Here is a 14,117-nt window from a genome sequence, read left to right as displayed (position 1 = left end):
TATAAACTGTCTTGGCACTCTAAGGAATGTCTTTTTTGCATGCTAATGCATTATTATTGGCATATAATGTGCAGTGAGAAGGATCAGAGGTCACTTTTGCCATCTTGGATTTGGTGGGTTTGGGCTGGCTTCTTTACTGCATTCTGTTTTATTACTGGGGTCTTTGTGACCTGTATCTTGTGCCAACCTCCTACCTTACCCTGTGACTAAGAATGCCCAACCACCTGGGGATGTAGCCCAGCAGGTCTCAGCCTCATTTTATGCTGCTCCTATTCAAGGTCTGGTTCCAATGCCTCTGACATAGGTACTACATTCACCATGTAGAGGAGCAAAAGCAGAAAGTTCCCTTAATGGACTGCATTTCTCTTTTTTAATATCTCTCACTCAAGAAAGTTTTTTTATAATCTACTGTGTGAAAGCCACCTGTCACTCACCTCTCTGTCTTCAGTTTCTTCAGTTGTAAAATGAGGGGGCAGGAATACCTGTGTTTTTCAACTGGGAGCTATTAGAATCTGGGGTCAGGACTGTCATGCACATTGGAGGATCTTTAGCATTTGGAGCTTCAGACATTAAATGCCAGCAGATCCCCCAGGCATTGCGATAATCAAAATGGTCCTCATGTTTCCAAAACCCTTGAGTTGAGAACCGCTGGATGATCCTGTTTACTTTCTAGTTTTAATATTGTATCAATTGAGGAGTCCTGGTTCAGGTACTAACCAATTACCCCTGCTGTGACTTTGGCTAAGCTCTTTAACCTTCTCCTTCTTTTAAATATCTGTATCATGGGAATAATCAAACTTGTCCCATACTGTCTATGTTACAGAGCTATTGTGAAGATATGATGACAAGAAAAAAAAGTCGATGTGAAAACATTAAAGTAGTCTCTGAAGATAAGATACCATCATTATTATGCAAAATTTTTTTGCAAAATAATTTTTATTGTATGAAAATAAATAATTATCCTTAAATTTTAACAAATAATTACAATACCCTTTAAATCGATTTTCTTTATTTAGAAAAAAGAAAACAGATTAAAAGGGTAAATGATTTACCCAAGGCTATGAAGCTAGAATTTGAATTCAGACTGTCTGACTACAAAACCTGTGCGCTAAATAGTGTCCTCTATTTCTTGTTCATGTGGGTCAGAAAGGGCTTGGCCCCAGATCAGCGCATTTTCTGTCCGTAAGTGAGTTATGTAGGAAGCTAACTATTAGATTGTTGCTTATCGGGACGTTTCATCCAGGGGAGCTAGTGATCGGAAGAAGGGCTCTCATTTTTGAAGGGAGGTGAGTCTCACTCTGTTGCCTAGGCTAGAGTGCAGTGGTATGATCACAGTTTACTGCAGCCTCCAACTCCTGGCCTCAAGTGACTGTCCTGCCTCAGCCTCCTAAGTAGCTGGGACTACAGATATGCACCACCATATGCCTGGCTAATTTATTTTTTATTTTTTTAGAGAGGGAGTGTCACTATGTTGTCTAGGCTGGTCTTAAACTCCTGGCCTTAAGTGATCCTCACACCTCAGCCTCCCACGTAGCTAGACACCCAGCAGAGAAAGGCTCTAAGCCACTCTGCTCAATTGCCTCCCTTAGTGTGACTCTCACTTTTTGGTTTCTTGTGCCTTCTCCACTTCCTCTGTGAAAATGAAGCCTTCTTAAGGTCACTTAAATCTTTTGTATATCCCATTACTTGCACACAACTCTTTGTTCCTGCTGTCTACTCTAAACACACACACACACACACACACACACACACAACCTAGAACCAGGGTTGCCAGATTTACCAAATAAAAATAAAAGATTCCCAGTTAAAATTGAAGTTCATATAAACAATAAAATTTTTAGTATATCTCAAATATTGCATGGAACATACTTACGTTAAAAATTATTCATTTTTATCAGAAATTCAAATTTAATTGGGTGTCCTGTCTTTTATCTGACAACTCTAACCATAACTCATATTCCAGTGCTCCTCAGCCTCGCTCTGCCCCTCAGACAGAGAGCAAGAGAGGAGCAGGGCTCTGTATGAGACATGATCAAAGACCTCCAGAACACAGAAGTCTCTGTCCTAAGGGCATTTTCAGTCTAGCTGAGAATACAGAAGTCACAAGAGGCAGCTGCTTGACATTTGACTTGCATCTCATGTCAGCACCCTCTGGGAGTCTCACTGGACCACTTCCTCTCCTGCTACCCACATCCACTCAGTCCCTTACTCCCCTCTCCTTTTCACATCCTCTCAGATGTTTTCTCTTCTCTGCATCTCCAATTTTGGTCCACTTTCTCAACAATTTGCAATTCTCCTAATTTGGCTTCCTGTTTCTATTCCTGATATTGAATGTCCTCTACCCTCCATACGGACACCAGGCAGATTTTGCTTTCTTTTAAAATAACATGCTTCCTCTGATGAGTGTAGTCATCTACATTCATTACAGAAATATTCCCACAGGAATATTATAGAACATTCCCATAGGAATACAGAAAAAAAATTGCAAAGTTCTCATTTCCTACACCAAAAAAATCTAAGCTTCGAGACCGAGTGGTCATGGCCCCTGAGATCTGGCCTTTCCTGACTATCCTGGCTCTGCCTGACATAATATAGCTTACAGCCCAAACTCACTCTACACAACCATGTTCCAGTTCCCTAAGTAACAAGCCATGCTTTTTGTCTGGTAGGCCTTTGCAAAGCCTTTTTCTTCTCCTCCCGAGAAGCGGCTTCTTCCATTACCCACCAGTGGACTCTTAATTATACTTGAGAACCCAGTTCCAGTGTCATTTCCCTGAACTTGGCTTCCTGAAACAGTCTTAGCTATCTCTTTAGTGCTCCTAAAGTCATCTGAGCTTACACAGTCCTTGCAAATACCTTTCTTGCAGATATTTAAAAAAAAATAACGTGTTGCAATTATTTATTTCCATATATATCATCCCATCTAAACTTAAGATCCTTAAGGGTAGAGACCATGTATCTCTCAAGCCTAGCAAAATACCTCATGCAATTAGGAGCTCAATAAAATGTTTGTTAATCATTAAATTACTTAAATAATGGGGCCATTTCTTTTCCTGTGTGTTTTATGCATTTCACTGATGGCCTCACACTAATTGTCCTACCAATGAAATGCTGGTTTAAATGCTGCTGTTACTTAACACTTGTCAATCCCATTAGATTATAAATATCTGTGATCCCCCACAGTGTATCTTTCAGGGCTAGCCATAAGTAAGTGTTGAATGACTGAATTATCTTCCTGCAGACCTAGTGGATGATGCAAATGGTAAAAAGGTCCCAGATAAAGATTCAGGGACTTGGGTTCCAGTCTCTGCTTTTCCAAGCTGAGTACATTACTATGGCACTCTGGGTCTTGGTTTCCTTGCCTATAAAGTGTGAGGGTGGGTCCAGGTCATTTGTTCGGTCCTCTAAATTTTTAAAGGGCAATGAATTTATAAATAATCTTATCAGTTGTGACTTGCTAATAAGCTGCTCCTTCTGTGTTCATGGGGGATAAAAGGAACTAATGTTTGTTGCATACCTGGTATGTGCTAGTCAGTCCCTGTCCTAGGAACTTTCCATGTTTCCCCATTCAAGACAAGAGGAGAGCATTATGTGGCACAGGTGACATCTGCAAATCAGAGCATATTCCTCTGTACCCTCATCTACTCCCACGTGTTGAATATTAAATACTGTGCTAAAAACCTCATGAATTCACCCGAATGTGTTAAGTGGATTGCATTTCCTAATGTGGGTGGGCCTCATCTAATAAGCTGAAGGTTGAAAAGAACAAAAAGGCTTACCCTCATGTGAGTAAGGGGGAACTCCTCCTGCCTGAGCTGTTGAGCTGGGACACTGGCCTTTTCCTAACTTTGGACTAAATTGGGGTTTTCTTGGGTCTTAAGCCTTCAGACTGAACTATGCCGTTGGCTCTCCTGGGTCTCCAGCTTGCTGACTGCAGATCCTGGGACTCCTCAGCCTCCATAGTTGCGTGAGCCAATTACTTATAATAAATCTCTCCCTCTCTCTATCTCGCTCTCTGTGTGTCTGTGTATACTGTATACACACACACACACCCCTTTTTGGTTCTGTTTCTATGGAGAACCCTGATTAATACAACCTGTCAGGCAATGATCAGCCAGCCAGATGTCAAGGGCTCTTGCCAAGTTTAATAGCTTGGGAGAGGAATTCAAAGCCTGCCCTGTTTCTACCCTCCTCTGCCCCATCCATCTCCTTGGATGACCTCAGCAGGGCCAGCCTTTGACTTCAGTTTGAAACCCCCTCTCCCTGCCATCTACTCTCTGTAGATATTTTCCCCTGCTAACTGTTCAATGTCCTTCCATTCTGATTTAGAAACTTCTTGCAGAAAAGGGAGCTACCTCAGATTTCCACACTATTATAACTAATATATCATCATAGATTATAATAATTACACTATAATGTTAGTGCTAATGGCTAACATTCATTAAGTGCTGTAAATGAGTAATCTCATCTGCTCTCACAACAACTCTGTGTAGTAACTATTGTCAGGCATGTTATAGGTGATAAAATTCAAGCACAGAGAAGTTAAATGCTTATCTCAAGATTCAATAGCAAGTGACAGAGCTGGGTGTGAATTCAGTAAACTTGATTCCAATCTTGGGCTCTTGAACAGATAATCTTTAAAGTCTCATTTCACCCTGATATTCCCCAAGTCTCTAAAACCATTCATACCACGACATGAGTTGCCTGCCTCTACAACTCTGTATTAGGCCCCAGGTTTCTAGGGCCTGTACTGCTGCTAGAAAGTATCAGAGGTTACGTAAGCATAGGGGAGCAGAAAGAGACTGGGCCCAGGAGCCACAAAGCTTGAAAATGAGCCTCCGCTACATGGCAAGCCATCTGTGGGAACTTGCGCTCATAAACTCTGAATCTCAGTATTTTCTTCTCTTAAATGGTAATAATCGTGATCATGTCTGCTTCTCGTAACCCACAACACTATTCTAAAGATCAGGAGATCAAGGGCATGTGAGAGTGCTTTGTAAATTGTAAAGTGCCATACAAATATGAATTATTATTGTTTCCAGCTGGAGTTGTCTGGGCCTACTTCAATGAGGGCATTATAAATGATTGATAAAACTTTATGTGGTATCTGTGCTTTAAGGGGGGAACAAGTCTTAAACCAAATGGCTAAAAACTCTGGTATGGAATGTTGGTTGCAGCACCCTAGACAGAAAGATTTGGGCACATGAATAGGGATTGGGCCCAGATCCAAGATACTGGTCGGCTTAACTTAGATTCCAGGGTTAGAAAGTGCTATTAAATGTTGATTGCTAGTTAGTTATTCACTGAACAGATAAAAGAAAGTAATAATAGAAAATGTGTATTTGAGTGCTTACCCTGTATCACGCATTGTTCTAAGTAATTTATATTTACATGTTATTTAAACCTTACAACAATCCAGTGAGATGAATATGTCTATAGAGAATATGACTATTCCCATTTTCCAAATGAAGAAAATAAGGCTCAGAGAATTTAGGAAAGTTTTCTAGAGTCACACAGTTAATAAGTAGTGGTAAAGCTTGGATTTGAACCTGGTCATTCTGACCCTAGAGCCAGAAGGAACAAAGAAAGGATGAAAGGGGGGAGGAAAAAAGAAAAGAAGGGAAAGGAAAGGGAAAAGGAAAGAGTAGGGAAAGAAAAATGAAAGAAGGAAGGAAGGAAAAGGAAGGGAGGGAGGAAGGAAAGAAGGAAAAAGGAAGGAAGGATGGAAGGAAGAAAGGAAGGAAGGAAAAAGGAAGGAAAGAAGAAAGGAGGGAAGGAAGGAAGGGAGGGAGGGAGGGAGAGAGGGAGAAGGGGAAGGGAGGGGAGGGGAGGCAAGAAGACTACATACTGAGTACTCCTCAGGTAGATTATAATGAGACCTAAGGAAGGAAATGACAAAGATCTGGAACCAAATAATCTCCAAATAAAACGTGTCTTGAGGGAGTCAAAAAAGATCCTTGGCCTATTTTTGCCTGTCAAGAAGTGCATGTTCACTCTCATGTGTATGAACAACAGTGGAGCCACAACACTGTAATAAAAATTGAAATTGGGTGCTATGAAAATACAGAGGAAGGGTGAAGGTGAGGACTAGGGAAGGCCCTCTGGCAGAGATGATGTCCAGGTAAATCTTAGATAGTTGATACAGTCTAGCCAGGCACAGAGTCAGGAAAGGAGGCATGAGACTGCACAATGCAGGTGGAGCTATAAGGAATTAGGAAGTATTAATATTACAATTGCAAAAGGCAATGTGGCAGAGGTCAGACAGCAGGCCAGAGGTTCAGGTAGGGTCCAGGCCATGTGTGCTAGGATGCCTCTGTGACAAGCCAAAAAGTTCAGGCTTTATTTTGTAGGTGTCAGAGACTCACAAGTGGTTTTAAACATGGTCAGACTTGTAATTTAGACGATCTCCTCTGACTAGAGTGGGGAGGGTAGATTTGACAGGTGGAGGTCAGGGCAAGAGAGAGAAGAATGGTCAAGATTCGATTCCACCAGTCCAGGCAAGTCTTTACAGAGCCGATGAGGAAGGTGAAGAGATATTTAGGAGGTATTTTTATAAGCATTTCGTGATTCACTGGAGTGGGGTGGCAATGGAAGGTTTCTGGGCTGACTCCTCTTTCTTGGTTCAATAACTTGAGAGTCTGCTGTGCTACTAACAGAGGTATGGAATACTAGAAGAGGAGCAGTTCTGGGAAATGGACTTCTCCAGAAGCAGATGGGAACAATAAATATGAAACTCTGGGAAGCAGTGAGGGATAAAGAAGGCTATTTGTTTTGTTAATAAAAATTGTTTATTAACTACTAGATGTTGATATAAGGCTGGGTACTAGACTTGGAAGTCAGGACAAGACAGGTCATGTTGCAGTAACAGACTATCCCCACATCTCAGTGACTTAATGCAAAAAAAGTGTTTATTTTTTAACTCATACTGTCAAGTGTGTGTTATTGAGGGAATCTGTTTCCCATCATTACTTAGGGACTCAAGTTGGCAAGGTTGCATCATCTTGTAACTTCAGTATCTAGAACATGAGTGCGTCTCAGTCACTTGGGAAAGAGAAAAGAAAGACTAAATAATCACACCTATGCCTTTTACTCCTCAGCCTGGAAGTGACACAGATCATGTCTGCTCACATTTCATGGACAGAATTAGTTTTATGGCCCCACCTAACTGCAGGGGCTGAGAAATGTAGAGGTGCGAATGTAACTTGTGGTGAGCGTTACTGTCTCTGCTGCATGTCATCAGCATATGGGAGGTGATTAAATCTGAAAGAGAAAGGACAAGATCGATCAAGGTAAAGCCCACAGAACGAAAAGAGAATAGTCAAGGACAAAACCCAGGGAATCACCTTCTATAAGTGAAACAAGGAAGAGAGGAGCCCAAGGATGACACCGAAAAGTGACATGAAAAGAGTTAAGAATTATGAGCCAATAGTGTTACTCGAGCCAAGGAAGTATGTCTATACAGAGGTGCAGAGCAGCAAATACAGCCTGGAGGAGCAGTAGGATAAAGACTGAAGTCTCCACTGCATTTGACCATCAAGAGGGGGCTGGAGAATGTCTTAATAGAAGTGTCTCCTTGCAGTGAATATTTACCCAGGTTTTTGTTCTAGAAAAAAATGGTCATTTCTAGAGCTGTATGGGACAGGGCTGTGTTCCTGAGGCCATAGCCCCCAGAAGTCTTCTGAAAGTGATGGTGGCAATTCAGGTAGGTAGTCTGTCTTTAGCTGACAGTATCATTTGAAATGTTTAATAAATTTGCAATTGATGACTAGCTAACGGGGTGAGATAAGACCTGTAAAAGTACAGACCCTGAGAATTGAAAGAAACCGTAAGCTGTGTAAACTGAAATGAAAAGTGATGTTTACCTATTATTCATTAGTATTCTTATAGAGTGGCAATATCATAACTTGGGAAGTTTACCTAAAGTGCAGTTATTATTACACTTGATTTTAGCCAAAAGGCCGAGAAGCAATTAAAGGTCAGTTACTTTTAACTAATAAAATTCCTTAGATTGAATTAAGAATTGCATTTGTGGTTTCTTCATCCAGGAGAAGAAAGTGTTATTTCCTTTTTGTATTTTCACTTGAAAAAAAACTGAGAAGAGTGTGACTAGTCGATGATATTTTGACCATACAGCTGTTGAGCACTTCTGAGGAAGAGGAACATGGAAGAGACATTTGTTGAGTACCTATTACATGCCAGGCAATTCCCATACATATTTTACTTAATCTTCACAACCGCCCAGAGAAAGAGATCTCTTTTATCCTTATTTTATGGACATGACAAAACTGAATAGAAGGCCCTAGTTTACAAACTCCAGGGGCTCCGCTCCATTTGCTATCAGCTAAGCAGACTTGGAGCGTGGACCCCTATTTCTGCTTCTCCCGGGACACTGTAAATCTCTCCATTTGCCATCAGTCTGGAGCTGTGAGCATGCAGATGAAAGGCGTTGTGGATCTGTGAACTACCGTAGCTCTACCTTCGGAGGAACTGACTTTCAGCTTTCAGCCACATGCATGAGAGGGGCTGATTCCATCTGTCGACCTGTCAGGCTGCCTCTCTTTTGGGCTTCTTTCTTCCCTTCTTGGAGTTTCTTTAATAAAACATTTCACTCCCTTGAAAAGCGTCTCCCCGAGTGGCTGAGGAGGGCCCAATATGGTTCCATTTAGTTCTCTGGGGATGAAGAGGAAGCATCCTCCCGTTACGTAACTTTCCCAGCAAGTGGTATTTCTGTTTACTCTCCCTCAAAAAACTATACAAAAATAAATGCTAGTTGTCCTCCCAGCTCATGAGTTCCACTCTGCCCACAGTTTCTGCTCGGAACTTCCCCACTCCCTTGGCGTCCTCCTCATTCTCCTCCTTTCTTGGACTCCTGACTCCCGTAAATACTGATGGGAGGGCGAGTGTGGCGCGACCTTGTGGTCGTGCGGTGGAGCTTCACCTTTCTCAGCGGCTCTGCTTCAGCCGCAGAGAGACTCTGGCCTTTCTCTCCAGAGGGCTTCAGCTACTCATCCACAAGACCTCTGAGAGAAGCAGAACCCGCTCTGTCCTAGGCTCCCTTGAACAAGCCAAGACACGGGCGGCAAGCCCACACGTGGGGAAGGACAGATCAGATTTTTCAGATCCTACAGAAAGGAAGTTTATCTTCTGATCAGGCTCCCCTTCCAGAATCTTCTCTTACCCCTCCAGTGCCCAAGGCTAGGTCCTCTCCCTGTACCTGTTGTTCTCTCCCATGGAGGCTCATTAACCCCACTAGAGGACTGACCCAGATCACCTGGGAGGCTTAAGAAAACACCAAGTGCTGAGGTCCAACCCACAGTTTATGATTTGCCTTTCACTGAGAATTTGCATTTCAGGCCACTACCATTGGTTTGCAACCCTAGATGCAAATTTGAATCACTGTTTTAAAAAATACATAGTATATGTGGCCCAGACCAATTAGCACATTGATAGCTTTAAAAACACCCCCAGGTAAGCCGGGCACGGTGGCTCACGCCTGTAATCCCAGCACTTTGGGAGGCCAAGGCTGGCGGATCACGAGGTCAGGAGATCGAGACCATCCTGGCTAACACAGTGAAACTCTGTCTCTACTAAAAATACAAAAATTAGCCGGGCATAGTGGCGGGCGCTCATGTAGTCCCAGCTACTCGGGAGGCGGAGGCAGGAGAATGGCGCGAACCCGGGAGGCGACGCTTGCGGTGAGCGGAGATTACAAGATCAGGCCACTGCACTCCAGCCTGGGCGACAGAGGGAGACTCCATCTCAAAAAAGAAAAACAAAAACAAAAACAAAAAACAAACAAAAAAACAACCCAGGTGCTTCTAAAGTGCCCTGAGGCTGAGAACCTTTGTATATTCAAACCAGCTCTTCACCTCCCAGAGGTATTTAGACCTGAATAGTGGATTTGAGAAACTTTCCCTCCTAACCCTTCAGGCCCCTAAGAAATAATTTTTTTTTTTTTTTTTGAGACGGAGTCTCGCTCTGTCTCCCAGGCTGGAGTGCAGAGGCGCGATCTCGGCTCACTGCAAGCTCCGCCTCCCGGGTTCACGCCATTCTCCTGCCTCAGCCTCCGGAGTTGCTGGGACTACAGGCGCCCGCCACCACGCCCGGCTAGTTTTTTGTATTTTTTTTTTTTTTAGTAGAGACGGGGTTTCACCGTGTTAGCCAGGATGGTCTCTATCTCCTGACCTCATGATCCGCCCGCCTCGGCCTCCCAAAGTGCTGGGATTACAGGCATGAGCCACCGCGCCTGGCCAGAAATACATTTTTTAAAGTTAAAAATTTTAGGCATATGCGCATATTGAGGGACGGGGTTGATATTTTATTGAAAGAGATCAACCTTCCTGGAACTCCGTATGTTACCCTGCCAGCCTAAGTTGCCAGAATACTGCACTGGTAACTGGCATGGAGATCTGGAGACAAGAGTTAAGTTCTGGCTCCACCCCTTACTACTGTGTGACTTGGGCTACCTATTTAACTTCTCTAAGCCTTAGTGATCACATCTGTGACACGGGGACAATAAGTACACCTATTATTTATAAGGTTAGTATGAGGAATAAAAGAAATAATCCAGCCCCTCACACATAGTTAGAATTCTGTAAAACACAGTTTTATTACAAAATTGTATTACTGTTATCACTATTGTTCTTCTTGTGACTCTTTGGACCAGCCATTGGAAGAGCTAGTGCATTCTTATCCTGATTCCAAGCTTATGGGGCCTTCCTCTGTGAGTTGTGGAGAAATAAACTGGCTATCTGAGAACTTTCTCAATTCCAGTTTCAGTTCCATGGTTTATTACTGGTCTGTGATTTACCCCAACCACCATCCTTGCCCAAATATCTACCAAAATCCTTAGACCCTACTCCTCCTAACCTAACACAGGATCTTACTCCTTAACCTACCCTCACATCCTTCTAAACCCTTCTCTAGGAATGGCATCTCTGTGTACCATTGACTCAGCTGCCCTAACTAAAAACCGGAGAGCATTCTAGAGTCTCCCCTCTTGTTCTCGGCTCGCCACTACTACCAAGGAATGAGACAAACAAACAAAAAATGGACAACCAATTCTTCTAATTTTTAAATCAATTTTACATCTGTCCTCTCTTCCTCTGCCCTCATTCAGGTGCTCCCGTCTGGATTATTTTAGCTGTCTCTTACTTGTCTCTATCTCTTATTCTTAATTTCTCTGCCTTATGTACCATGTCACTACCAAGGAGATATAAATATAATTATGTTGTTCCCCTGCTCAGAACTCCTCAGTAGTTTTCAATCATCTGTCAGGTTGAACTGTCTTTGCAAACACAGACACTGGCAGGGACAGGCAGGCAACACAAACTCATGCCATGGAATGTTGCTAAAACAATATGCAGTCACACTGTGACTTGTCTAGCTAGGCATGTTGCTTTTTAAAAACTGTGCAAACCAAACGAAACATCTCTTAGCCATGAAGCCCTTGGGCTAACAGTCTGAATCACCCCCCTGGCCTAACATGTAGATTCTGATTTCTTTGATATGACCTGCAAGGCCTTTCCTGATGTGGTTCTCGTTACCTATGTAGCCCCATACCAATCCCTGTCTTCTTGCACTTTATACATGAGTAATCCTAAAGTTCTCAGAATAGATCATGTGTTCTTGTACCCTCATGTTTTTCTTTCATTTTGTTTTTCTTTTTAGCTTACATCTGTTGCAGCCAGAAACCTTCATGTTTTTGCTTATGCTGTGCCTTCAACCTAGAATGCCCTTCTTCTTTTCGGTACCCTGGCCAAACCTAGTTAATACTTGACAGTTCAGTTCAGAGGTTAGCTATACATGGTTCCACTAGCCTAATACAGCTCTCACTCTCCCACTCCTAATCCTTGAATCTAATAGTGACCATATTGCATTGAATCGCTTATTTGCATGTCTATTTCCTCCACTAGTCTCATAAGCTCCTTAAAGTCGGGGGCTGTCTTTTTACTTTAGTATCCTCAACTCTTACCATAGTGCCTGGCATCTTGTCTAATGAGTACAAGAATGGAGGAATGGTAATAGGTAACATGTTGAGTGCTTCCTTAATTTCAGACACTAACGTAAGTACTTTACATACATAATTTGCTTTAACTCCTTTATCAAGTACCAAAAAATGAGAAGGAGGAGACAAGTCTAGGATGTCTCTGTGTAATATATACATTGATTTTTCCTAAATGCTCTCAACTCAACTGAAAATGATTTAAAATGTATGCAAAGGCACTGTTCACAATAGCAAAGATATGGAATCAACCCAAATGCCCATCAATAATAGACTGGATAAAGAAAATGTGATACATATACACCATGAAATACTATGCAGACATAAAAAGGAATGAGATCATGTCCTTTTCAGGGACATGGACAGAGATGGAAGCCAATATCCTCAGCAAACTAACACAGGAGCAGAACACCAAACACCGCTTGTTCTCACTCATAAGTGGGAGCTGAGCAATGAGAACACATGCACACAGGGAGGGGAACAGCACACACTGGTGCTGTCGGGGGGGGGGCGAGGGGAAGGAGAGCATTAGGATAAATAGCCAATGCATGTGGGGCTTAATACCTAAGTGATGGATTGATAGGTGCAGCAAACCACATGACATATGTTTACTTAAGTAACAAACCTGCACATCCTGCACGTGTATCCTGGAATGTAACATAAAATTAAATTAAAGAAAGAAAAAAAATGTCTGCAAAGGTAGGGTTTGACTATCTGGGATGCTCCAGAGTGACCTATAATTACCTCTACTTTACTATACGAAAATTACTTCCTTTATTCCCTATAAGATAGTGGAGCTCTTGAGGGCAAGTTCTACAGTTTTCATCCCATAATTCTTAGCACCCAACTTCCTTCCTGGTACACAGTGAGATTTGTAAATGTTAGATAAGTAAATGAATAAAAGTTCTGGTAGATCTCTTATTACACAAGTTTCTGAGGCTCTGAAATTCTGGCTTTAGGTCTCTGGTAGGCTCAGTAACTTCTTTTGACTTTTTTTCAGAAATGTGCTGAGTATCTTGGGTGTATAGGTTATATATGTTTGTATAACCATATGTTGCACCTGAGATAAAGGAAGAAAGAGAAAGAAAGATTCGGTAGAGGAATATAATATAAAGGAAGGCAAAGAAAGTGATAGAGAATAAGGAATTTTAAAAAAAATTTGCAGCTATTACTAAATGATTTTAGCGTATAACTTCAATGCATTTTATTTGCCACTTTAAGAAAAATTCTGCCATTAAGCTACACAGTCATTAGATGTCAGTAAAGTAATGTGTCTCATCACGCTCACCAACGTCTTGAGTTCCAGACTATAGCTTTAGGCTCAGTCTCCTACAGAGATTTATAATCATGAAGTTCTATTGTTATGGTGATGAAAAACAAATCTTATTAAAGAATATAACATTAAAGAAGTATAGTAAGAATCAAAACATATAACACTTTCAAAGGAAAATATAAAAGCAGCCAAATTCTATAAATATCTAAATATATTTCTCAACTATCATATAATAATTAAAATTCCTAGTTCAAATTTCATCTGTTATAGTCCTTTCAACAATTTTTATCTAAAATTAGAAATGTTAAATTTGGTTGATTCATCTAAATATACTTTTATCAATTCCTTCCTTCCCACTTTTCCCTGCTCCCCCATCCTACCCCTTTCTACACAGAAATAGTCACTTGTCACTCAGATTTTGCTGTAGAAACTTTTGTATAGGATATAATTAATATTTACTTCTATAGCTGATTATTATGCAATTCATTGAGTGAATCTGTAAGTACCTCTAACTTTCATCTCTCTTAGACAAAAAAACAGCTAACTGAGGTTTTGCAATGTCATCCCTCAGTCCTCCGATCAGTCACATTAGGCTCCCTCTCTACCCTCCCCAAGACCGTTAAAACGTCTTTATGTTTTAATTTTTTCAAAGTTATGCAGTGCTAAATTTTACTCATCAGCCCTAGTTCAAGGATTGGCTTTAGTAACACCCTTGCAACTGGCAGGGAGGTAATGGCCAAGATTTGACCTCTGAGTCAGACGGAACTGAGTTTGAATCCTGGTTCTACCTCTTCTTTCTGCCTTTGGGAATGGCAAGTGTATCATTCAGAACAGAAAAAC

This window comes from Homo sapiens, chromosome 1, assembly GCF_000001405.40.
Source record: "Homo sapiens chromosome 1, GRCh38.p14 Primary Assembly".
Taxonomy (NCBI): domain Eukaryota; kingdom Metazoa; phylum Chordata; class Mammalia; order Primates; family Hominidae; genus Homo; species Homo sapiens.
This window is presented reverse-complemented; position numbering follows the sequence as displayed.